The sequence below is a fragment of the Homo sapiens genome, chromosome X (assembly GCF_000001405.40).
Source record: "Homo sapiens chromosome X, GRCh38.p14 Primary Assembly".
Lineage (NCBI taxonomy): Eukaryota > Metazoa > Chordata > Mammalia > Primates > Hominidae > Homo > Homo sapiens.
The window spans coordinates 41,336,864-41,360,669 of NC_000023.11; the positions used below are offsets into that span (position 1 = coordinate 41,336,864).

The following is a 23,806-nucleotide window of genomic DNA, read 5'->3' on the forward strand; positions in this document are numbered from 1 at the left end:
AAAATACTTGGGCAATATTTAGGGATGAAGTATCTAACTAAAAGAACGGCCACTTCGAAATTTGTCCTGACATTTTTCAGGTGTGCATTTTAGGTTTAAAATATCAAGTATTACGGAAAGTTGGCATTGGAAACTTTCATAACCGGCACTAAAACGAATCCTTTATCTATTTGACATTGAGGAATAATTTTGAGATTCAGTGTAAGCTTTAGTTTGGTGATTAGGGAGCCTGTGCTATGGAACATGTTAGTGAAAATTTATTTTGAATGCATGAATTAAATTTGGACAGTTTCTACTGAACAGCACAAGCATCTTGGTGTGCCGCCTTCTGTAGTATATACAATAGTAATATTGCATTTGCTTAGAGCATTGCAGACTTGAAAACATTCTTAGTCACATTCTCATTAAGGGTTGGTATTAGCCCTGTGAGGTGGACTGGGCAACTACTTGAATGCAGTACTAGCAAATGCTAGAGGGCAGGACTAGTTTTCTCTTAATGTAGTATTTGAGCACATGGGGTGCTAACCATCTCACTCTCTTCTAGTTTGCTGGCCTAGACCTGAACTCTTCAGATAATCAGAGTGGAGGAAGTACAGCCAGCAGTAAGTACAACATCTTGTGGGTTTATTGAATATTAGAGCTTAACATCTTAAGATTTCATTGGGCTTATGTAAAATTTAAGAAATTTGCCTTTCAATTTTTTACTGCTTAAAGAATTATGTAGTCTTTGTGTTATAGAATTATGTAGTACTTAGTGATCAATCTAAAGCATCGTTGCCTTTTTTTTTTTTTTTTGGTTGAGATGGAGCTTTGCTCTTGTTGCCCAGGTTGGAGTGCAATGGTGTGATCTCGGCTCACCGCAGTCTCTGCCTCCGGGTTCAAGCGATTCTCCTGCCTCAGCCTCCCGAATAGCTGTGCCTTTCTGATAATAAAACATCAATGACTAGCTGGCTCTCTTGAGTAAAAGCAGCTAATCATTGGAAAGAACCTTATTATATCAAATTATCTCTAGAAGAGTTTTTGTCCATTATAAATCCTGAGCCCAGTTTAGAGGTGATGGGAATGTGTCCCTGTTAACTGACTATATTTATTAAATTGAATTAAGGGAATATGCATTTCATTGGTTATAGCTACTCCTTTCTCCTGAAGAACAGAAGACTATACTGAATTTTGGATTGGTGGTTAGGTTAGGTTTTCAAATGTGTCATTTCTTTTAAAAAGGCATTAGAAAAGTTGCTTTTTTTCTTCTAAGGGGGGTTATTTAGAGACTTGTTAGAGGTTAGTGTTAAGATAGGGGATCTTGGTGGTTTATTATAAGGGCAATAGACCCTTATTTTTAGCTCAGATCTCTTCCTACTTATTAAAACAAAAGTGAGTATGGGCTATGATGTGTCCTCATTTTTAGGCAAGAACAGCTTCACTGGGAACAAAACTTGGTGTTTGCTTTAACTTTCACCTTATTTGTCATGCTAAGAATCTTTTAGGAACTGATTGTCCTAGTAGAGATTTTTAAAAATATTTAATTCAGTCTAGAAGTGAAAAAGAAAAATGACACGTTTACTAGTTATAAAGCAAATTTATTTGGCTTTATGTTGTTTTTTTTGCTTATCCATATTCTAGGCTGTACTCCTGCTCGCATACAGAGCAACTGTCAACTTTCCTTAAACTCAGCAAGCCCCAAATTAAAACCTGCAATTCCTTGAAATTAACTCCCCTTTGCAGCTTTTCCTTGTTTATTTATTGTATGTTTTGCAACTTACTGGCATAGAAACAAAAGATTGTGAGATATGTTACATGAGTAATCTTAAATTGTTACAGTAATACTTAATGCTTTTGTTGACAGTTTTGATGACAGTTCTCTTAAATCTAGCAGGCCTTTAAAAAAATCACATTAAATGACCACTGGTGGCTAAATGTGCTCAATTTGTGGATTTCAACTATTAGGTTCCAAATCAGCTTTTTTTTATCAAACTCCTTTCAGAGTTCTCCTTATGAAGCAGTAACCCATTTAAAATTAGATTCTTATTTTTCCCCCCTCTCAGTGTCCAGGTAAGTAATCAGATTGGAAGGCTGGAGATTTTAATTTCCCAGAACCATTTTTTAGTAACAGAAATTTAAATGGGAAGGTTTTTTGGCATTTAATTAATTTTATATATATATATATTTTTTTAGAAGGGCGCTATATTCCTCCTCATTTAAGGAACCGAGAAGCTACTAAAGGTAGGTCCTCACAAGTAACTTCGTAGGTCTATTTTTTGCCTCCTTTAGAAGTTAGTAAAGCCTAAGGAAAACCAGGCATTTGGGGGAGGTCTAAACATGGTGTTGTTTTTCTATGCTTCTGTCAGCCTTGGTTCAAATACTAGAGCTTAATAATTTTGGAAGAACTCATCTAATGTTACGCAGTGGGAAATTCGGCATTCCTATGTCAAACTGTTCTGACGCCAAGGGCATGGTTTTGTACAGTTTCACTAGTGTTGTGCTGAATCTGTTTGTAATCATTCACAGCATGGTTTTAGTTTGGAAGAGGTGGGTGCCCTACTGTGTAAACCAAGCTGTATAATGATAACAACCTGGTTATTTCTGTCTTGGCAAAGTTGCTAGAAATGAAGATGGGCTTATTGTAGAACAGTTAACAAGTTACAGCGTTGGAAGTGATTCTCTGGTTTCATCTCCTTGCCTTGCTGCTTTTGAAAGGTTTTGTCCAAAATGTATTACAATATCTGGTGTCTTTTCCCATTGTAATTGTAACGTAGTGATAGATGACAGCTAGTATATGTTTCATATTATGAGACAGCTGTTCGGGTGCTTTATATTCTGTAAAATAGACCATCCAAAATTTGGAGGAAAAGGGAAAGTCAGGAAAACCAAAGATTAGGAGGGAAGATACTGTATAAAGAAGGCAGATAGGAAGAGTGGAGAGTCCACAGGGGAGCACATGGTTTGCTGCTGTTCCTCCATCTCCATATGTAGTCTGTATTACCTTCACTGTCCTGGCAATGCATGGATATAAAATCTGTATTATTTCTACCAGAAGATCACTTTGGCTTTTTTTTTTTTTTTTTTTTTTTGAGACGGAGCCTTGCTCTGCTGCGGAGGCTGGAGTGCAGTAGCGCGGGCTCACTGCAACCTCCGCCTCCTGGGTTCAAGTGATTCTCCTGCCTCAGCCTCCCAAGTAGCTGGGATCACAGGCATGTGCCACCATGCCCGGCTAATTTTTGTATATTTAGTAGAGACGGGGTTTTGCCTTGTTGCCTAGGCTGGTCTCGAACTCCTGACCTCAAGTGATCCACCCGCCTCAGCCTCCCAAAGTGCTGGGATTACAGGCGTGAGCCACCATGCCTGGCTGGCATTATATTCTTTTTAGGGGAGGTTACTTTGGAATTTGTCTTTATCATCATGGATGTTCTCAATATTCCTAGTATACTAGCTAGAATTGACCCTCGTGTATATGGCAGTATCATAGAGGTTTTAGAGCTGGTAGAGATCTGGCAATCTAACTTAACTCTTTCTTGCTAGCAAAGGCTGTTGGTCACCTGACTGGCCTAACGGTAGGAGGTAGAAGGCAGAAGGAAAGTAACTGAATTGAGAAGCTGTTTCTGTTTAATAAGGTGTTGCTGAAGCTAGTTAAACCCTCTACCTGTCTTTAAACCCTCTACCTGTCTTTGGGTTAATTTACATGTTTGTCATCCCCTTACCTGGATATTTATAGCTGTACCCAGGAACCTTGTCTATACTGAGAATATATAGTGATGAGGGTTTTTCTTTTTCCCAGGTATTCCTGATTGTCATCAAGCTTATAGTAGATGAACCACTAAAATAATACTACAATTTGACATTAGTGTTCTTGTACTTTATACTATTGAAACTGAAAAATACTGTATTAAACCAAGTAATCTGACAGTCTATGAATGTTCTAAATGAATACCACCTCCAAGAAACATGGAAACAATGGTAACTGTTTTTCCTAGTAAACTCATTCACACCTATAAAATGAATGGAAATTAAATTGTTATGGTCACACAACGTCATAATGCGTTACAGGCAAAGCTGTTGACCACTTAGAGGTAGTATTCATTGAGAAACATTCTTAGACTGTCAGATTGCTTGATTTAGTGTAAAGTAATTTTTTTTTTTTTGAGACAAGGGTGTTTCACTCTTGTTTCCCGTGCTGGAGTGCAGTGGCGCAATCTTGGCTCACTGCAACCTCAGCCTCCCGGGTTCAAGTGATTCTCCTGCCTCAGCCTCCTGAGTAGCTGGGATTACAGACGTGGGCCACCACGCCTGGCTAATATTGTATATGTAGTAGAGACGGGGTTTCTCCATGTTGGTCAGGCTAGTCTCGAACTCCTGACCTCAGGTGACCTGCCCGCCTTGGCCTCCCAAAGTGCTGGGATTACAGGCGTGAGCCACCATGCCTGGCCAGTGGACAGTATTTTCTAGTGGGGAGAATTAAAGAAAAACTTTGTCCGGGTGTAAACCAGCTTTAAATCTTGGTTCTCTTACAGTGCCATGGTAGGGATAGTCAGTGGAGGCTTTCAAATTCAGAAAGATTGATAATACCTTAACATGGTTCCTATTTCTAATTAATAATAAAATGTATTTGTGCTTTTTTAATCAAAGGTTTCTACGATAAAGACAGTTCAGGGTGGAGTTCTAGCAAAGATAAGGATGCGTATAGCAGTTTTGGATCTCGTAGTGATTCAAGAGGGAAGTCTAGCTTCTTCAGTGATCGTGGAAGTGGATCAAGGGGAAGGTAAGTGATTTCTTAATCACCTTACGTGTATGTATAATAACAGTTTAATAAGTCGTTATCCTGACCACCTGTTTGGATGTTAAGCATTATGTCTGTTTGGTCATTGTATTTTCTTAGCCGTAAGAGGCTTTTACTAAATTGAACCTGTTACTTAGAAATTAGATGAAAATAGGAATATGCTCATTGGCATAATGAAATGAGTTATTCTATTTCTCGAGTTTTATATGTTCTACTTAAAAGAGTAAGTTCATCTAGTGAATGGCCTAATTTGGTTGGGATTTTTGTGGACTCTATAACAATTTCTAAACACCTTGTATTTTTGATTACACAAGTGTGGTGAACTGACCCCACGTGCCTAATAGCTGTGGTTAGTCCTGTGTCCTGATTTTTCGCAAACAGGCCTAAAACTCTTAAAAACATCTTAGTTCAGGTAAGGATTATTTTCTACCTTTTATCCAAAGTCTGTCACACAGGTGAATTGTCCTTTAAGTGACATCCTAGTATAACTAGGACGATTGATATTTGGTGTGCTATTTTCTTGTTTTCCCTACCATTAAATATATTTGGATGAGCACTTTAAATGAAGGTTGTGAGCTGTGTGCCGATTTCAAATAAAATCCTTATTCTTAATTTTGGCATCTGTGAGGCCTTTTAGGCTATACAACTTTATAGAAATGTAAAGATTACTGATTTTAGAAAACGAGGTTATGTAAATGATGCTGGTTAGAGAGCCTTATTTGTCAAGTAACTCAGAATTGGATTGTTGACATCCTTATGGTTAGCCATAACTTAAGTCTCCAGATACAGTTCTAGAGTAGGGATAAGAATCTGATAATGGTTAAATGATATGATTCTGATTAATTGCTTGTGCTGTTCAGGTTTGATGATCGTGGACGGAGTGATTACGATGGCATTGGCAGCCGTGGTGACAGAAGTGGCTTTGGCAAATTTGAACGTGGTGGAAACAGTCGCTGGTGTGACAAATCAGATGAAGATGATTGGTCAAAACCACTCCCACCAAGTGAACGCTTGGAACAGTAAGTTTTTGAAGTGTATGTTACTTGTGATGAAGCCTTACTAGCTAGTATAACAAATGAACTTATCCATTTTTTGATTTGAGGGAACTCTTTTCTGGAGGCAACACTGGGATTAATTTTGAGAAATACGATGACATTCCAGTTGAGGCAACAGGCAACAACTGTCCTCCACATATTGAAAGTGTGAGTATTTTTGCTTGACTTTTTAAGACACAGAGAGGTTAAATGTTTTCATGTTACATTAGAATGTGAGATGGGCTTCATAAAGTCATGTAGACCAGAGGCTTCATAGATTTGTGGAAAAGGAGAAGTTGAGTTCAGTGTCACCATTATGAATAATTTATTACCTAAAATAGAAAATGGGTCAAACATAGGAACAACCCAAAGTCTTCTCCAATGTGCAGTAAGCCTGGGGGTTGGTTTTTCTCAAAGTATAATGTGATAATTTTACTTAAACTATAAACTGAGTTACCAATCAGCTGTTGGTTGGTTGTTTCCATTATTAGTATAAAACAGAAATAGCTCTAGATAGCATTCCTAACCCCATTGAATTTCTTAACAGTTCAGTGATGTTGAGATGGGAGAAATTATCATGGGAAACATTGAGCTTACTCGTTATACTCGCCCAACTCCAGTGCAAAAGCATGCTATTCCTATTATCAAAGAGAAAAGAGACTTGATGGCTTGTGCCCAAACAGGTAAGCTCAACTCATAAGAGTAAAACATCATATTTCTTCTGTAAAGGACTAGACAATAAAATATTTTATTTTTTATGGGTCATGCAGTTTTGCAGCTGCTCTGCGCTGCTATTGGACTGTGAAAGAAGCCATAGATGATACATAAATTATTGGTTACGGCTGTATTCCGTAAGAGCTTTATTTATAAAAATAACAGGCTTTATTTACAAAATAGTCTCAGTTTGCTGACTCCTCTTAGAGGTGGAGCAGAGAAGCCACTTTTTGGAAAACTTAAGCATAAACTAAAAGTACTAATTATTAGTAATAGGGTAGTTAAAAAACACTGTCATCTACCAATGTCTGTTTAAAAGTAATGAGCAGGATTTGTTTGTTTGTTTTTGAACAGGGTCTGGAAAAACTGCAGCATTTCTGTTGCCCATCTTGAGTCAGATTTATTCAGATGGTCCAGGCGAGGCTTTGAGGGCCATGAAGGTAGATGTTTCTTTATAAAATGGGAAATTGTAGAACTTTGTAGGTGGCCATTGAGAGGGCTTTCTAAATGATGCTAAGACTTAAGTAGAATGAAAACCAGTTTTCAAGTGTAATCTGTAATCTATAAATTACAAAAGGGAATTATGTTGTGATGAACTTTTCAAACAGGGTAGGTAGAGTTAACTTAAAAATTAACTTATTTCTTAGGAAAATGGAAGGTATGGGCGCCGCAAACAATACCCAATCTCCTTGGTATTAGCACCAACGAGAGAGTTGGCAGTACAGATCTACGAGGAAGCCAGAAAAGTAAGTATGAGTTCCAGTGATTATTAGCTTTTTCATTGATTCTAATTAAATGTTTTATGAACATGTAAAAATTTTGACCTTGAAGTTCATAACATTTTTTTTGCTTATAGTTTTCATACCGATCTAGAGTTCGTCCTTGCGTGGTTTATGGTGGTGCCGATATTGGTCAGCAGATTCGAGACTTGGAACGTGGATGCCATTTGTTAGTAGCCACTCCAGGACGTCTAGTGGATATGATGGAAAGAGGAAAGATTGGATTAGACTTTTGCAAGTATGTTTTATTTTGTTTTTGTTTTTTTGTTTTGTTTTGTTTTGTTCTTTTGTTTTTGGCAGAGTTGCGCTCTTGTTGCCCAGGCTGGAGTGCCATGGCGCGATCTCGGCTCACCACAACCTCTGCCTCCCGGGTTCAAGCGATTCTCCTGCCTCAGCCTCCCAGGTAGCTGGGATTACAGGCATGTGCCACCACGCTGGGCTAATTTTTGTATTTTTAGTAGAGGCGGGGTTTCTCCATGTTGGTCAGGCTGGTCTCGAACTCCTGACCTCAGGTGATCCGCCTGCCTTGGCCTCCCAAAGTGCTGGGATTACAGGTGTGAGCCATCGCACCCGGCCAAGTATGTTAATTTTTAAATGTATGGGATGCAGTATTAAAGTTACTGCCCATTAGTTTTGTGGTGATGTTAACATTGTCTAAATGTTAAGGCTGAGAAGTGATGTATTTCAGACATCTAACTTTCACAAAAAGCTTGTTCATGGTAATTTTAATGTTGAAAAATCAGTAACATCTTGGTTGAGACTTACAACAATGATCAGCTCGTGGGACAGTCAACTAGGATGGGCTAATTTGACTGTGTAATCTTGAATGACTTATGTAGTGGCAAGAATCCTGTGCTGTGTCTGTAAAATTATGCAGTGTGAGGCACCATCTTAATGAATATATAATTGTAATAACCTATACAATTGTATTTGTAATTATACTAACAGCCATACTAAAACCATGTTGATTTCTCCTCAAATTCTAAACTCAGGCTTGTTTTTTTTCATGACATGACAGATACTTGGTGTTAGATGAAGCTGATCGGATGTTGGATATGGGGTTTGAGCCTCAGATTCGTAGAATAGTCGAACAAGATACTATGCCTCCAAAGGGTGTCCGCCACACTATGATGTTTAGTGCTACTTTTCCTAAGGAAATACAGGTACTGTTTGATGTTGCAAATTTTATTTATTTAGAAATTTGTTTATCTCAGGTAATAATAAAAATTTTTTTTCTTTCAGATGCTGGCTCGTGATTTCTTAGATGAATATATCTTCTTGGCTGTAGGAAGAGTTGGCTCTACCTCTGAAAACATCACACAGAAAGTAGTTTGGGTGGAAGAATCAGACAAACGGTCATTTCTGCTTGACCTCCTAAATGCAACAGGTAACATTATGAATTTTTTATTTTATTAGACATGGGGGTTTCTCTTTGTTGCCCAGGCTGGAGTGCAGGGGTTATTCACAGGTGTGATCTCATTACTGATCAGCATGGGAGTATTTGACCTGCTCTGTTTCTGACCTGGGCCTGTTCACCCCTCCTTAGGCAACCTGGTGCTCCCTTGCTTCCGGGAGGTTACCATGTTGATGCCAAACTTAGTGTGGACACCTGATAGGCATAGTACACTACAGCCCAGAACTCCTAGACTTAGACAATCCTCCTGCCTCAGTCTCCAGAGTAGCTGGGACTACAGGCACTCACCACTGCACCCAGCTAAAATTATGAATAATTTAATTGCTCTGGTAATAACCCATTTGGGCTGGGTGCAGTGGTACAGTGCATGTAGTCCCAGCTACTTGGCAGGCTGAGGCTGTAGTATGCCATGATTGCACCTGCGAATGGCCAGTGCACTCTCAGCCTGGGCAATTTAGTGAGACCCCCATCTCTTAAATGTATTTGGATTACCTTTATTACTTTTCCTCCTCAATTCAAAACATGCTGTGTTGAAAGCCCGTTTTTAAGAAGATATATATGTATTTTAATTGACACATTAAAATTGTGCATACATAAGTGCAAAGAGAACTAAGCCATGTTAGTGACAAAAACCTATAATTTTTCAACGACAGGCAAGGATTCACTGACCTTAGTGTTTGTGGAGACCAAAAAGGGTGCAGATTCTCTGGAGGATTTCTTATACCATGAAGGATACGCATGTACCAGCATCCATGGAGACCGTTCTCAGAGGGATAGAGAAGAGGCCCTTCACCAGTTCCGCTCAGGAAAAAGCCCAATTTTAGTGGCTACAGCAGTATGTATAAACATCTTTCTTTTATTCAAATTGAGCATGTTCAAGTATTTGTTTTCTTTTAAGTGGGCCATATCTCATAAAAGTTATTTTCCAGGTAGCAGCAAGAGGACTGGACATTTCAAATGTGAAACATGTTATCAATTTTGACTTGCCAAGTGATATTGAAGAATATGTACATCGTATTGGTCGTACGGGACGTGTAGGAAACCTTGGTAAGTATTTGATTACTTGATGGTTTCATTGTTTTTTGCTGTGATGTGTGCAGGAAAGAACTTGCTAGGATCTAAAATACATTTTTAACAATGAAAGTGACAAAGATTTTGCTCAAAGCACTTGTTTAAATATTACGTGGTAATATTTTAAATATTTCTACGTAGGAAAGTAAGAATAGTAGCAAGTTACTTTATGGAAGACCTTTGTTTATATACTTTTTTGGGAACTCTTTTAGGCCTGGCAACCTCATTCTTTAACGAGAGGAACATAAATATTACTAAGGATTTGTTGGATCTTCTTGTTGAAGCTAAACAAGAAGTGCCGTCTTGGTTAGAAAACATGGCTTATGAACACCACTACAAGGGTAGCAGTCGTGGACGTTCTAAGAGGTGAGGTATAAATAGTATATAATGAGGGGAATGGGTGTTCACTTACAGTTCATAGTGTTTCCTCTGCATGCATAACGTCCAAGGTTAACTGTACAGTATTTAAAAAGCTTAATCATCTTAGGCTTCCTAGATTCTTTGGTAAGGGGTTGTATTAGAATGGGTGACACTCTGTTGGGGAAAATATGGCTGGATGGGGAATTGTTTGAATGGAAAAATTAGAAATTGGTCATTAGGAAAGAGTTAGGTTACTTTAGTGGAATTTCATCTTCATGTGAACCAACATAATTTTTTTCTTATAGTAGCAGATTTAGTGGAGGGTTTGGTGCCAGAGACTACCGACAAAGTAGCGGTGCCAGCAGTTCCAGCTTCAGCAGCAGCCGCGCAAGCAGCAGCCGCAGTGGCGGAGGTGGCCACGGTAGCAGCAGAGGATTTGGTGGAGGTAGTGTTAATCTGTAACTTCATAGCTTTGGGAAGGGTTTTTTTCCTTTTAGTCATCTTTTTCAAAGCCTAATTAAACAATTTAAGTTCAGCACTATAGAAACTTGATGGCAAATTACGTAAGGGAAGGATTGTATTTAATGATGGATAACTTCATTAATTTCTCTCTCTTTTTAAATCTCTCATTAGGTGGCTATGGAGGCTTTTACAACAGTGATGGATATGGAGGAAATTATAACTCCCAGGGGGTTGACTGGTGGGGTAACTGAGCCTGCTTTGCAGTAGGTCACCCTGCCAAACAAGCTAATATGGAAACCACATGTAACTTAGCCAGACTATACCTTGTGTAGCTTCAAGAACTCGCAGTACATTACCAGCTGTGATTCTCCACTGAAATTTTTTTTTTAAGGGAGCTCAAGGTCACAAGAAGAAATGAAAGGAACAATCAGCAGCCCTGTTCAGAAGGTGGTTTGAAGACTTCATTGCTGTAGTTTGGATTAACTCCCCTCCCGCCTACCCCCATCCCAAACTGCATTTATAATTTTGTGACTGAGGATCATTTGTTTGTTAATGTACTGTGCCTTTAACTTTAGACAACTTTTTATTTTGATGTCCTGTTGGCTCAGTAATGCTCAAGATATCAATTGTTTTGACAAAATAAATTTACTGAACTTGGGCTAAAATCAAACCTTGGCACACAGGTGTGATACAACTTAACAGGAATCATCGATTCATCCATAAATAATATAAGGAAAAACTTATGCGGTAGCCTGCATTAGGGCTTTTTGATACTTGCAGATTGGGGGAAAACAACAAATGTCTTGAAGCATATTAATGGAATTAGTTTCTAATGTGGCAAACTGTATTAAGTTAAAGTTCTGATTTGCTCACTCTATCCTGGATAGGTATTTAGAACCTGATAGTCTTTAAGCCATTCCAGTCATGATGAGGTGATGTATGAATACATGCATACATTCAAAGCACTGTTTTCAAAGTTAATGCAAGTAAATACAGCAATTCCTCTTTCAACGTTTAGGCAGATCATTAATTATGAGCTAGCCAAATGTGGGCATACTATTACAGGGAAAGTTTAAAGGTCTGATAACTTGAAATAGGTTTTTAGGAGAATTCATCTACTTAGACTTTTTAAATGCCTGCCATAAATGAAATTGAAATGGTAGAATGGCTGACCACAGCAATGACCAGCCCTCATTAGGGCCCTGGATGATTTTTGGTCTAATAACGCATGCTAGTGTTGATGTTTTTTGGTCAAGAGGGTATGAACAGGAAGAATTAAATGCAGCAGGCTTTATTTTAAATGCCGATTCACATTACTCTGTTCAAGCTGCGTTGAGATGTTAAACTGGCTTACTATAGACTTCGTAAAAATGGCTCCAGAAGAGTAACAAACTGAAATCTTTGAGATCACACAGGTTGGAAATATGTACATAACTGCACAAGGTGTCAATTCTGCTCTACAGTGCAGTTTTAGTCAGTTTTAGTTGCATAGGTTTCCATTGTATTTATAGTCTGTTTATGCTAAATCTGGCCAAAGATGAGCATTGTCCACCACTAAAATGCCTCTGCCACTTTGAATTCTGTGCTAATTTTGTGGCCAGAATGCGGTGATCAAAACGCTCCATCTTTTTACAGTGGCATAGGAAGACGGCAAAAATTTCCTAAAGTGCAATAGATTTTCAAGTGTATTGTGCCTTGTTCTAAAACTTTTATTAAGTAGGTGCACTTGACAGTATTGAGGTCATTTGTTATGGTGCTATTTCAATTAGTCTAGGTTTAGGCCCTTGTACATTTTGCCCATAACTTTTTACAAAGTACTTCTTTTATTGCACATTCAGAGAATTTTATATATATGTCTTGTGTGCGTGTCCTTAAACTTCCAATCTTACTTTGTCTCTTGGAGATTGTTGAACGCAGCTTGTCTAGGAAGGGGATGGGACTAGATTCTAAAATTTATTTGGGACCATGGGAATGATAGTTGGGAAGAAAACTATTTGCACACGACAGATTTCTAGATACTTTTTGCTGCTAGTTTTATGTAATATTTATTGAACATTTTGACAAATATTTATTTTTGTAAGCCTAAAAGTGATTCTTTGAAAGTTTAAAGAAACTTGACCAAAAGACAGTACAAAAACACTGGCACTTGAATGTTGAATGTCACCGTATGCGTGAAATTATATATTTCGGGGTAGTGTGAGCTTTTAATGTTTAAGTCATATTAAACTCTTAAGTCAAATTAAGCAGACCCGGCGTTGGCAGTGTAGCCATAACTTTCTGATGTTAGTAAAAACAAAATTGGCGACTTGAAATTAAATCATGCCAAGGTTTTGATACACTTGTCTTAAGATATTAATGAAACACTTCAAAACACTGATGTGAAGTGTCCAGATTCTCAGATGTTTGTTGTGTGGATTTTGTTTAGTTGTGTGTTTTTTTTTTTTTTTCAGTGAATGTCTGGCACATTGCAATCCTCAAACATGTGGTTATCTTTGTTGTATTGGCATAATCAGTGACTTGTACATTCAGCAATAGCATTTGAGCAAGTTTTATCAGCAAGCAATATTTTCAGTTAATAAGGTTTCAAAAATCATGTAAGGATTTAAACTTGCTGAATGTAAAGATTGAACCTCAAGTCACTGTAGCTTTAGTAATTGCTTATTGTATTAGTTTAGATGCTAGCACTGCATGTGCTGTGCATATTCTGATTTTATTAAAATAAAAAGTTGAACTGCACAGTCTCCTTTGTTGTTGTCAATTGTGGTTTATTTTCAGAGGTGTAAATAAAGTGCTCTTGCCTGAAAAATTGTAAAATGTTATTTTTTGCTTGTCATCCAGTGCTATTTTTTGAGATGCCTCTTGGATACAGAATGACTCATACCATAAGTATTTGCAATGAAAGATGAAGATAGTATTAGTTTGAAATACAGTGAAACAGGATTTTTGTAATAGACGGAAATCTAAAAGGCCCTTACTGATAATACAGCATGTATTAGAAATTGGCTTATACTTTGAACAATTTGACATGGGTGGGAGTCTCTTTGTTCTTTGAAGTATCTATTATGAAGGATGGTTGAACAGTGGAAGAATGAGCAGGATAAAAGTCAAGTGTGTCAGTAGTCCAACAAGTGATGGTAAGTATATACTTAGGGAAGGAATCAAGACTATTTGGGCCAGGTGTGATGATTACATAGTCCTATAGTGCTAGTTTACTTGGAAGCTGAGGGGCAGGAAGATTGCTTGAGCCCACGAGTTCAAGTCCAGCCTGGGCAACGTATAGCAAGACCTTATCTCTGAAAACAGGTAATAAGACATCTATGCTTACTGTACACACTGCTGCAATAGGCTGCTACCACAAGTGTATAGGTGCTTGGTTAGATTGAGCCATACTAGCGGTTTGATACGTTTCAATCTAACAAATACGTATTCAGCTTTTGTTTCAGTAAGTTGAAGGTTTGCAGTATGATTAAGAATTTTTTGCATTGTAAGGAAGTATGGTTCTGGATAATCTTTCCAGTCATGAACTCAAAATAAGCATAAGTTTTTAGGGCAGAATTTTGACACATGGCCATATGTATTTTGAAGATAGAAAAGATGATGGTACTTGAGTCTCGATTTAGTCAAAATAAGCATGGAAAGGTTTGGGATTGCTAGATTGGATAGTCAATGGCTGAAAGTGACTCATGGAGTGAAACGATGCTAAGGAGAGTTCAGTTTCCACTTTATGTGAATGATGAGTGAACATGACAATCTGCTCTGGAGGAACTGCCAAAATTTGAGGTTATTTCTAGTCTAGCATGGTTAGGATTATGGTGACATAAATTTAGTATGTTTACATACTACATTAATGTGGTTTAATTTTAATTACACTTAAATGCAGTTGTCACTCTTGGGCACTGTTGATGTGTTTCCTGGATTCTTGGCTGAATTTCAAGATTTTTAAAATGGCTTTATAGGAGCTGTGTCTAACCTTCATGCTTAAAATGTTTCCTTTGCTCCTATGCTCTACGTGACCTGCTTGAGTGGCCACAGGCTTGCTCTTTAGAGCACAGTGACTTTGTTGATAGGGCCTCACTACTCCCACAATGCAGAGATACCTACTTATTGTAGGTACAGGGCATTGAAAGTTATAAGACTATCTTTGGGTTTTGCTTTCTTGTGTTCCATTCTATTTTTAATACAATTCTGAGTATATTTAAACCTGCTTTGCTTCATGTCCTCATTTCAGTTTATGATCTATTTTTCAGCATGTTTAGTGTCATTGTTTCTAATGTGGCTGTCCTCTATAATGACTACTCTTCAATTTCTTCATTTTTTTTTTCCTCTTAGTTTTCTCTACATACACTTGACTGGGTTTTTAGGATAATTCTGAGAAAGGACTTTTTTTTGACAAAGCACTGTTTAATTATATTATGAAAGGATATTTTGTGACTTGGAAAGATGTTTATTATGGGAGAAAACAAAACGGACCAATACGATTTAAGAGCAGGAAATAGGTGTCTCAAAACAAGATAAAGTCAGCAATTCCACTCCTAGGAGGATTCTACCCAGGAGAAATGAAAATGCTAAGTATGTGAATGTTTTGTAGCATTATTCATCGTAACCAAAAAGTGGAAACAAAAATGTCCCTCAACTGACAAATGGATAAACTAAATATATACATAAAATGAGATACTATCTCCTCTAGGTGAACAGCCACATCCCCAATTTCCTCCCCCCTCTTCAAAGGGTCATTAGGTAGGCCTATCAGTACTGTGACATATCTATATTCTAAGGCTTTCTGTAGATGTATATCCAGTTTTAGTCCTTATTTTACTGTGTGAAGCAGATACAATCATGGTTTATTGGATATTTACTGTCTTCCTTGTTACATTGAAGATGTTTCATTTTTCGAGAGAAGTACCTCCTATCTTTCGCTGGAGATCCTCCATTCACTTCCTTTTCCACTCATTCTATTCCCAACAGCCCATCTCATTTACCTAACAGTCAACATTAGTGGTATGCAGAATGGTCCCTGAACCTCTTCTCCAGACCTCAATCACCTGATGGGATCTTTCAGTGCAAGGCGAGGGTTGACTTAGGGTGCAATCAAAACCTGATTTGGTGTCTGCTTGAGTATTGGCACTGGGAGATGTAGTGATTAATTTAGATTAGTCTTTCCTTTCTTGGAACCTAGCCATTTTCCTTTTGTGTTTCTCCAACTTGGTGTTGCAACAGAAAGTACCTGGGAAATGATTCTAGGGCAACTCTCCTAACAGGATCCTCCACCTCTGAGGTTCTCTCAGAAATCTGTGGTTTTGGTTTTGGTTTTTGCTTGTGTTTTTATTCCTAAAGCTCCCCAGGCAATTCTGATACAGCAGGCTTAGGTGTGGAGTCCACTGTTCACTCCCCTTCTTTTTGTCATTTGTTTCAGACTTAGCATTGCCATGATCATGCTTCTGGTTCTTCATTGTGGAAGCATCTCTGTATTCCAAATTAAAACAGATATTGCAAACAAAGTAATGGCATTCTATTACGTGGCCCCTATGGCGTGGTTCTAATCTACCATTGCAGCTTTAACTTGCCTCCCAGACCTTATCCTGTAGCTGAATGTCATGCTACTGTCTATGCAAATCCTGTGCTTTCTTCTGCCTTTGCCTTAGTTTTTGCTCACCATGTTCCTTCTAACTAGAATTGGAGCTAAACTAATGTTTTAAAATATTGGGCTGGGCGCAGTGGCTCACGCCTGTAATCCCAGCACTTTGGGAGGCCGAGGCAGGCAGATCACGAGGTCAGGAGATCGAGACCATCCTGGCTAACACGGTGAAACCCTGTCTCTACTAAAAATACAAAAAAAAAAAAAAAAAAAAATTAGCCGGGCAAGGTGGCAGGCACCTGTAGTCCCAGCTACTTAGGAGGCTGAGGCAGGAGAATGGTGTCAGCCCAGGAGGCAGAGCTTGCAGTGAGCTGAGATTGTGCCACTGCACTCCAGCCTGGGTGATAGAGCAAGACTCCATCTCAAAAAATATATATATATTGTATTCAGAATATTAAGGTGCTGGCCCGGCACAGTGGCTCACACCTGTGATCCCAGCACTTTGGGAGGTGGGTGGAGTTCAAGACCAGCCTGGCCAACATGGTGAAACTCCGTCTCTACTAAAAAAAAAAAAAAAATTAGCTGGGCGTGGTGGCAAGCGCTTATAGTCTCAGCTACTTGGGAAGCTGAGGCAGGAGAATCACTTGAACCTGGGAGGTGGAGGTTGTAGTGAGCCAAGTTTGTGCCACTGTACTCCACTGTGGGCAACAGAGTGAGGTTCCATCTCAAAAAAAAAAAATCTCTCTCTCTATACACACGCATACACACACACACACACACACACAATAAAGCTGCCATTGACAATTACTAGTGACATAGAGAAAATAACTTGTTCCAGTGGGTAGAGAAAAAAGTAGGTTACATCTCAGTGTGCAGAATGATCTTAAGTATTTTGAAAATACATAGAAGACCAGAAGGAAACCTGCTAAAATATTAATAGTTTTTGCTACTGGTTGAAATTATAAAGATTTTCTGCTGCTTTATCCTTTCCTGAGCAGATTTTATACGGTTAAAATGTATTTTCTAATAAAACTGTATAGATTCACAGGAAGTTGCAAAAACAAGAGAGGTTCCACTGTATCCTTCACGCAGTTTCCCCCAATGGTAACATCTGGCATACTGCAGTACAAAACCAGGAAATTGCCATTGGTACAATCCACACACCCTGTTCCAATTTCACCAGTTTTACTCATTTGTATGCAGTCATGTGTGTAGTTCTGTGCAGTTTTATATGTGTAGATTTGTGTAACCCCCTCCACAGAACAGTTCCATCATCACAATGATCTCCCTTGTGCTACCTCTTTTTTTTTTTTTTTTTGAGACAGGGTTGCGCAGGCTGGTGTGACCATAGCTCGCAGTAGCCTTGACCTCCCAGGCTCAAGCAATCCTCCCACCTCAGCCTCCTGAGTAGCTGGGACTACAGGCGTGTGCCACCACACCTAGCTAATTTTTAAATTATTTGTAGAGATGGGATCCCACTATGTTGCCCAGGCTGGTCTTGAACTGAACTCCTCAAGTGATCCTCCTGCCTCAGCCTCCCAAAATGCTGGGATTACATGCATGAGCCACAGTGCTCAGCTTGCTACCTCTTTTTAAATCGTATCTGTCCCCTTCCTGCTTCCCTAACCTGTCCCCAACCCCTGACAACTACTTGTCTGTTTAACATCTCTAAAATGTAATTTTAAAATTGTTACATAAATGCAGTATGTGACCTTTTGAGACTAGGTTATTTTGACTCAGTATAATGTCTCTGATCAATCCAAGTTGTTGTAAATAGTTTTGTTGTTGTTGTTGTTGTTGTTGTTTTGAGATGGAGTCTCACTCTGTTGCCCAGGCTGGAGTGCAGTGGTGCGATCTCGGCTCACTGCAACCTCTACCTCCAGGGTTCAAGCAATTCTCCCCAAGTAGCTGGGATTACAGGTGCATGACACCACACCCAGCTAATTTTTGTATTTTTAGTAGAGGCGGGGTTTCACCATGTTGGCCAGGCTGGTCTCGAAGTCCTGACCTCGGGTGATCCGCCCGCCTCGGCCTCCTAAGGTGCTGGGATTATAGGTGTGAGCCACCGTGCCCGGCCAGTTTGTTCTTTTTTATTGCTGAATAGTATAGATATTCTGTAGTTTATCCGTTCAGCCGTTGAAGGATATTTGTCTTGTTTCCGGTTTGTGACTTACAAATAAAGCTGCCATGAACATTCAGCTACATATGAACCTATATACAGGTTTTCGTGTAGACATAAGTTTTCATTTATGTGGCATAAATGCCCAGGAGTACAATTGCTGGCTCCTGTGTTAAGTATGTGTTAGTTTAAAACACTGCCATACCATTTTTCAGAGTGGCTGTACCATTTTACATTCCTACCAGCAATGCAGGACAGATCCAATTTCTCTGCATCCTCACCAGCATTTGGTATTGTTATTATTCTTACTATTATTATTTTTTGAGACAGGGTCCCACTCTGTCACCCAGGCTGGAGTGCAGTGGCCCTATCATGGCTCACTGCAGCCTTGAGCTCCCAAGCTCAAGCCATCCTCCCACCTCAGCCTCCTGAGTAATTGGGACCACGGGTGTGTACCACCATGCTCGGCTAATTTTCTTTTTCTTTTTTTTTTTTTTTTTGAGATGTGGTCTCACTATGTTGCCCAGGCCAGTCTTGAATTTCTGGGCTCAAGTGATCCTCCCATCTAGCCCAGCACTCTCAAAGTGCTAGGATTACAGGCATGAGCCACCACACCAGGCATGTCATTATTTTTAAATTTTGGCTGCTCTAATTGGTGTAAAGTAGTATCTTATTGTCTTAATTTGCATTTCTCTAATGGCTGGTGATGTTGAACATCTTTTCGTGTTCTTATTTGCCATCCCTGTATCCTCTTTGGTAAAATATATGTCTGTGTCTTTTGCTCATTTTTAAATTGATAGTTTTTTACTGTTGAGTTTTGAGAGTTCTTTATTCTAAGTACAAGTCTTTTTGACAGCTTGCAAATATTTTCTCTCAATCAAAGTCGTCTTTTCATCTTAAAAAGGTCTTTTGCAGAGCAAATGCTTTTAATTGTTCTTAAACATTTAAAAGTTTGATGTAGTCCAATTTGTCAGCTTTTTTTTTTTTTTTTTTTTGAGACAGTGTCTCACTCTGTTGCCCAGGCTGAAGTGCAGTGGTGTGATCTTGGCTCACTGCAACCTCCGCCTCCCAGGTTCAAGCCATTCTCGTGCCTCAGCCTCCCAAGTATCTGGGATTACAGGTGCCCACCAACATGCCTGGCTAATGGCTAATTTTTGTATTTTTAGTAGAGACGGGGTTTCACCATATTGACCAAGTTAGTCTCAAACTCCTGACTTCAGGTGATCCACCTGCCTTGGCCTCCCAAAGTGCTGGGGTTACAGGCATGAGCCACCTCGCCTGGCCAGTATTTCTTTTTTTTTTTTTTTTTTTTTTTGAGACGGAGTCTCACTCTGTTGCCAGGCTGGAGTGCAGTGGTACGATCTCGGCTCACTGCAACCTCTGCCTCCTGGGTTGAAGTGATTCCCCTGCCTCAGCCTCCTGAGTAGCTGGGACTACAGGCGCACACCACCACACCTGGCTAATTTTTATTTTATTTTATTTTAATAGAGATGGGGTTTCACCGTGTTGGTCAGGGTGGTCTTGATCTCCCACCTTGTGATCTGCCCGCCTCGGCCTCTCAAAGTGTTGGGATTACGGGCGTGAGCCACCGTGCCCGGCCGGCATCATTCGTCAAAAAGAATGTTCTTTCTCCATTGAATTGCTTTTGTACCTTTGTCAAAAATCAGTTGGCTGTCCTTTTGTGAATCTATTTCTAGGTTCACAATTCCGTTTCATTAATCTATATGCCTATCCTTCCACCATTCCTGCAGAATATCACACTAATTCTTTTTTTTTTTTTTTTTTTTTTGAGACGGAGTCTTGCTCTGTCACCCAGGCTGGAGTGTAGTGGCATGATCTCAGCTCACTGCAACCTGTACCTCCTGGGTTCAAGCGATTCTCCTGCCTCAGCCTCCCAAGTAGCTTGGATTACAGGTGTGCGCCACCACACCCAGATAATTTTTGTATTTTTAGTAGAGACAGGTTTTCACCATGTTGGCCAGGCTGGTCTTGAACCCCTGACCTCAGGTGATCTATCCACCTCGGCTTCCCAAATTGCTGGGATTACAAGCGTGAGCCACTGCGTGTGGCCTCAATTATTTTTATCTATATAATAAGTCTTAACGTTGGGTAGGAGTGATTCCTCTCACTTTATTATAGTTTTGCAAAAGTAATTTAGCTCTTCTAGTTCCTTTGCCTTTCCACATAAATTTTAGAATAAGCTTTTTTTCTATCTACAAAAGAATCTTGCTGGGATTCTGATGGTAATGCTGCTAAACCTATAGATCAGTTTTGAGGAGAATCGACATCTTTACTATGTTGGGTCCAAAACTTTTTTATTTTTATTTTTTTGAGACAGGGTCCAGTCTTGCTCTGTCACTGGGCTCAAGCAATCCTCCTGCATTAGCCTCCTGAATAGCTGGGACTACAGGCACACACCACCACACCTGGCTAATTTTTGTATTTTTATTTTTAGTAGAGACAAGGTCTTGCTATGTTGCCCAGGCTAGTCTCCAATGCCTGAGCTCAGGCGATCCTACCACCTCAGCCTCCCAAAGTGCTGGGATTACAGGCGTGAGCCACTGCGTGCAGCCTAAATTTATTTTTATGTTGTGAACTTGGAATATCCAACCAACAGTAAAGATTACCTAGTACTTCCTAACATGGGATTCTCCTATTTGTTCATCCTAGGATCATGCTCCTCTGTGGAGCAAGTGCCTCCATGAAATGCCATATTTTGTGAAGAAAGTGCATGCAGGAATATTCAGGAGTCCAGCATGTAGTCATGGCAGCCTTAGGTATTTGAGACCGACCAACCCTCCTGATGAAGACAACCATAACTCATGCAGGCATGAGTCTGTAAGCATTCTTAGTCTGTAAGCACCTTTTGGAAGGTTTCCTATCTGGGACAGAGATAGACACTCTTTTTTTTTTTTTTTTTTTTTTTTTTTTTGAGATGGAGTTTCGCTATTGTTGCCCAGGCTGGAGTGCAATGGTGTGACCTCTGCTCACCGCAACCTCCACCTCCTGGGTTCAAGCAATTCTCCTGCCTCAGCCTCCTGAGTAGCTGGGATTACAGGCATGCGCCACTATGCCCTGCTAATTTTGTATTTTTTAGTAGAGACAGAGTTTCTCCATGTTGGTCAGGCTGGTCTCGAACCCCCGACCTCGTGGTCTGCCCGCCTCGGCCTCCCAAAGTGCTGGGATTACAGGTGTGAGCCACCGTGCCTGGTCGACGCTTTCTAATAGTCAATTAAGTAAGTTAATAACTGCCTGGGCAGAAAATGCAGTATTCAGCTAATCCCAAACTTGGAATTTTCTACCTTTTCAGTTTCATCTTCTTAAAACTCATCATTTTGAGAGTACTTTGGAGTTACTTGAATATTAATTCTCAGCATGCATTCAACTTAATTACCTTAATGTCCCAGGATTTTAATAACCCTTAAAATTTCCATGTCAATTTTCATCAGGGAACCTTGTCCTTGAATGCTGCTGCTGTGACTTCCTGTAGAAGTTCTTTAATTGGAACACTCTTGGCAGAGCCTTCCCTTTCATATGGAGCACAAAAGCAGCTGCCATGCTCAATTTGCAGTCCTCTTTATTGTGCGGGGATTTTTTTTATTTTTTATTTTTTGAGATGGAGTTTCACTCTTGTCCCCTAGGCTGGAGTACAATGGCGCCATCTTGGCTCACTGCAACCTCCGCCTCCCGGGTTCAGGCAATTCTCCTGCCTCAGCCTCCCGAGTAGCTGGGATTACAGGTGCCCACCACCACTCCTGGCTAATTTTTGTATTTTTAGTAGAGACAGGGTTTCACCATGTTGGCCAGGATGGTCTCGAACTGACCTCAAGTAAGACACCCACCTTGGCCTTCCAAAGTGCTAGGATCACAGGCGTGAGCCACTGTGCCTGGCCTGTACAGGAATTTTGAAGAAATCTACAGTGTTAACAGAACCCGTGGTATAAATTTATCCCAAGTATCAGTGTCACAAATACTCTTTGCGTCTAAGAAACATGCTTTCTTGGAAGCAACACTGGGAAAACTAAGTGATTTCACTTTTGCCCACCACAGGAATGAAGTCTTACTGCATTTATTAGCAATACCCATGGTTGAATCTCTTTTACTTATTTTCTATTTCCCAACCTTTTCATTTTCTTGCATGGACATCTGAAAGTTGCCTCCAGGCCGGGCATCGTGGCTCATGCCTGTAATCCCAGCACTTTGGGAGGTGGGCATATCACCTGAGGTCAGGAGCTTGAGACCAGCCTGGCCAACATGGTAGAAGCCTCTACTAAAAATACAAAAATTAGCCAGGCCTGGTGGTGTGCACCTGTAATTCCAGCTACTTGGGAGGCTGAGGCAGGAGAATTGCTTGAACCCAGGAGGCAGAGGTTGCAGTGAGCCAAGATGGTGCCACTGCACTTCAGCCTGGGCAACAGAGTAAGATTCCATCTCAAAAAAAAAAAAAAAAAAAGTTGCCTCCAAATTTTGGAGTGAGATAAGGTATAAGTATATCAAATGAAACGTTAAAGCTATTTTTAAAAAAGTGGGCCAGGTGTGGTGGCTCATGCCTGTAATCCCAGCACTTTGGGAGGCCGAGGCAGGTGGATCACGAGGTCAGGAGATAGAGACCATGGTGAAACCCTGTCTCTACTAAAAATACAAAAAAAAATAAAAAATAAAAATAAAAATTAGCCGGGCGCGGTGGCGGGTGCCTGTAGTCCCAGCTACTCGGGAGGCTGAGGCAGGAGAATGGCGTGAACCCGGGAGGTGGAGCTTGCAGTGAGCCGAGATCGCGCCACTGCACTCCAGCCTGGGCGACAGAGCGAGACTCTGTCTCAAAAAATAATAATAATAATAAATAAATACATAAATAAATAAAACCCCAAGAGAGGAAGTAGTGTCACTCCAGCCATATGTGTGCCTTTTCTTCCCTTAGAAGCTTTCAATTTCCGGCTGGGCATGGTGGCTCATGCCTGTAATCCCAACACTTTGGGAAGCGGAGGTGGGCGGATCACCTGAGGTCAGGAGTTCAAGACCAGCCTGGCCAACATGGTGAAACCCCGTCTCTACTGAAAGTACAAAAATTAGCTGGGCGTGGTGGTGCGTGCCTGTAATCCCAGCTACTCGGGAGGCTGAGGCAGGAGAATCGCTTGAACCCGGGAGGCAGAAGTTGCGGTGAGCTGAGACCATGCCATTGTATTCCAGCCTGGGCGGCAGAGTAAAACTCTGTCTCAAAAAAAAAAAAAAGAAGCTTTCTGTTTCCTCCTAGTGGAGGAGGTATGGAGTGCTCTTGTTTGTTTGTTTGTTTGTTTATTTGAGACAGGGTCTTACCCTGTCGCCCAGGCTGGAGTGCAGTGGCGTAATCTCGGCTCACCGCAACCTTTGTCTCCCAGGTTCAAGTGATTCTCCTGCTGCAGCCTCCCAAGTAGCTGGGATTATAGGCATGCGCCACCACACTTAGCTAATTTTTGTGTTTTTAATAGAGACGGGGTTTTACCATGTTGGCCAGGCTGGTCTTGCACTCC

At 40.2% G+C, this 23,806-nt stretch overlaps 1 protein-coding gene and 1 pseudogene across 7 annotated transcripts in view; one reads left to right on the forward strand and one right to left on the reverse strand.

Annotated features, from left to right (window-relative positions):
- DDX3X (DEAD-box helicase 3 X-linked) overlaps nucleotides 1-23,806 on the forward strand; it is a 31,165-nt gene that overhangs the window by 3,556 nt on the left and 3,803 nt on the right. The window contains exons 2-18 of one of the 7 annotated variants that reach the window (NR_126093.1): nucleotides 545-602; nucleotides 2,173-2,220; nucleotides 4,621-4,753; nucleotides 5,632-5,790; nucleotides 5,874-5,973; nucleotides 6,353-6,488; nucleotides 6,874-6,959; nucleotides 7,167-7,265; nucleotides 7,376-7,536; nucleotides 8,317-8,461; nucleotides 8,541-8,685; nucleotides 9,366-9,547; nucleotides 9,642-9,759; nucleotides 9,996-10,149; nucleotides 10,449-10,588; nucleotides 10,777-11,052; nucleotides 20,970-21,127. Coding sequence is in view for 5 of the 7 variants with exons in the window: in NM_001356.5 (NP_001347.3) it covers nucleotides 545-602; nucleotides 2,173-2,220; nucleotides 4,621-4,753; nucleotides 5,632-5,790; nucleotides 5,874-5,973; nucleotides 6,353-6,488; nucleotides 6,874-6,959; nucleotides 7,167-7,265; nucleotides 7,376-7,536; nucleotides 8,317-8,461; nucleotides 8,541-8,685; nucleotides 9,366-9,547; nucleotides 9,642-9,759; nucleotides 9,996-10,149; nucleotides 10,449-10,588; nucleotides 10,777-10,856 (1,944 nt within the window). In the remaining 2 variants the exon portion in view is untranslated. Of the gene's footprint in view, nucleotides 1-544; nucleotides 603-827; nucleotides 2,221-4,620; nucleotides 4,754-5,631; nucleotides 5,791-5,873; nucleotides 5,974-6,352; nucleotides 6,489-6,873; nucleotides 6,960-7,166; nucleotides 7,266-7,375; nucleotides 7,537-8,316; nucleotides 8,462-8,540; nucleotides 8,686-9,365; nucleotides 9,548-9,641; nucleotides 9,760-9,995; nucleotides 10,150-10,448; nucleotides 10,589-10,776; nucleotides 14,806-20,969; nucleotides 21,128-23,806 lie in introns of those variants that run through there. The other 6 variants (NM_001193416.3, NM_001356.5, NM_001363819.1 and 3 more) reach the window with 6 other exon arrangements.
- RN7SL15P (RNA, 7SL, cytoplasmic 15, pseudogene) lies at nucleotides 8,713-9,013 on the reverse strand (annotated as a pseudogene).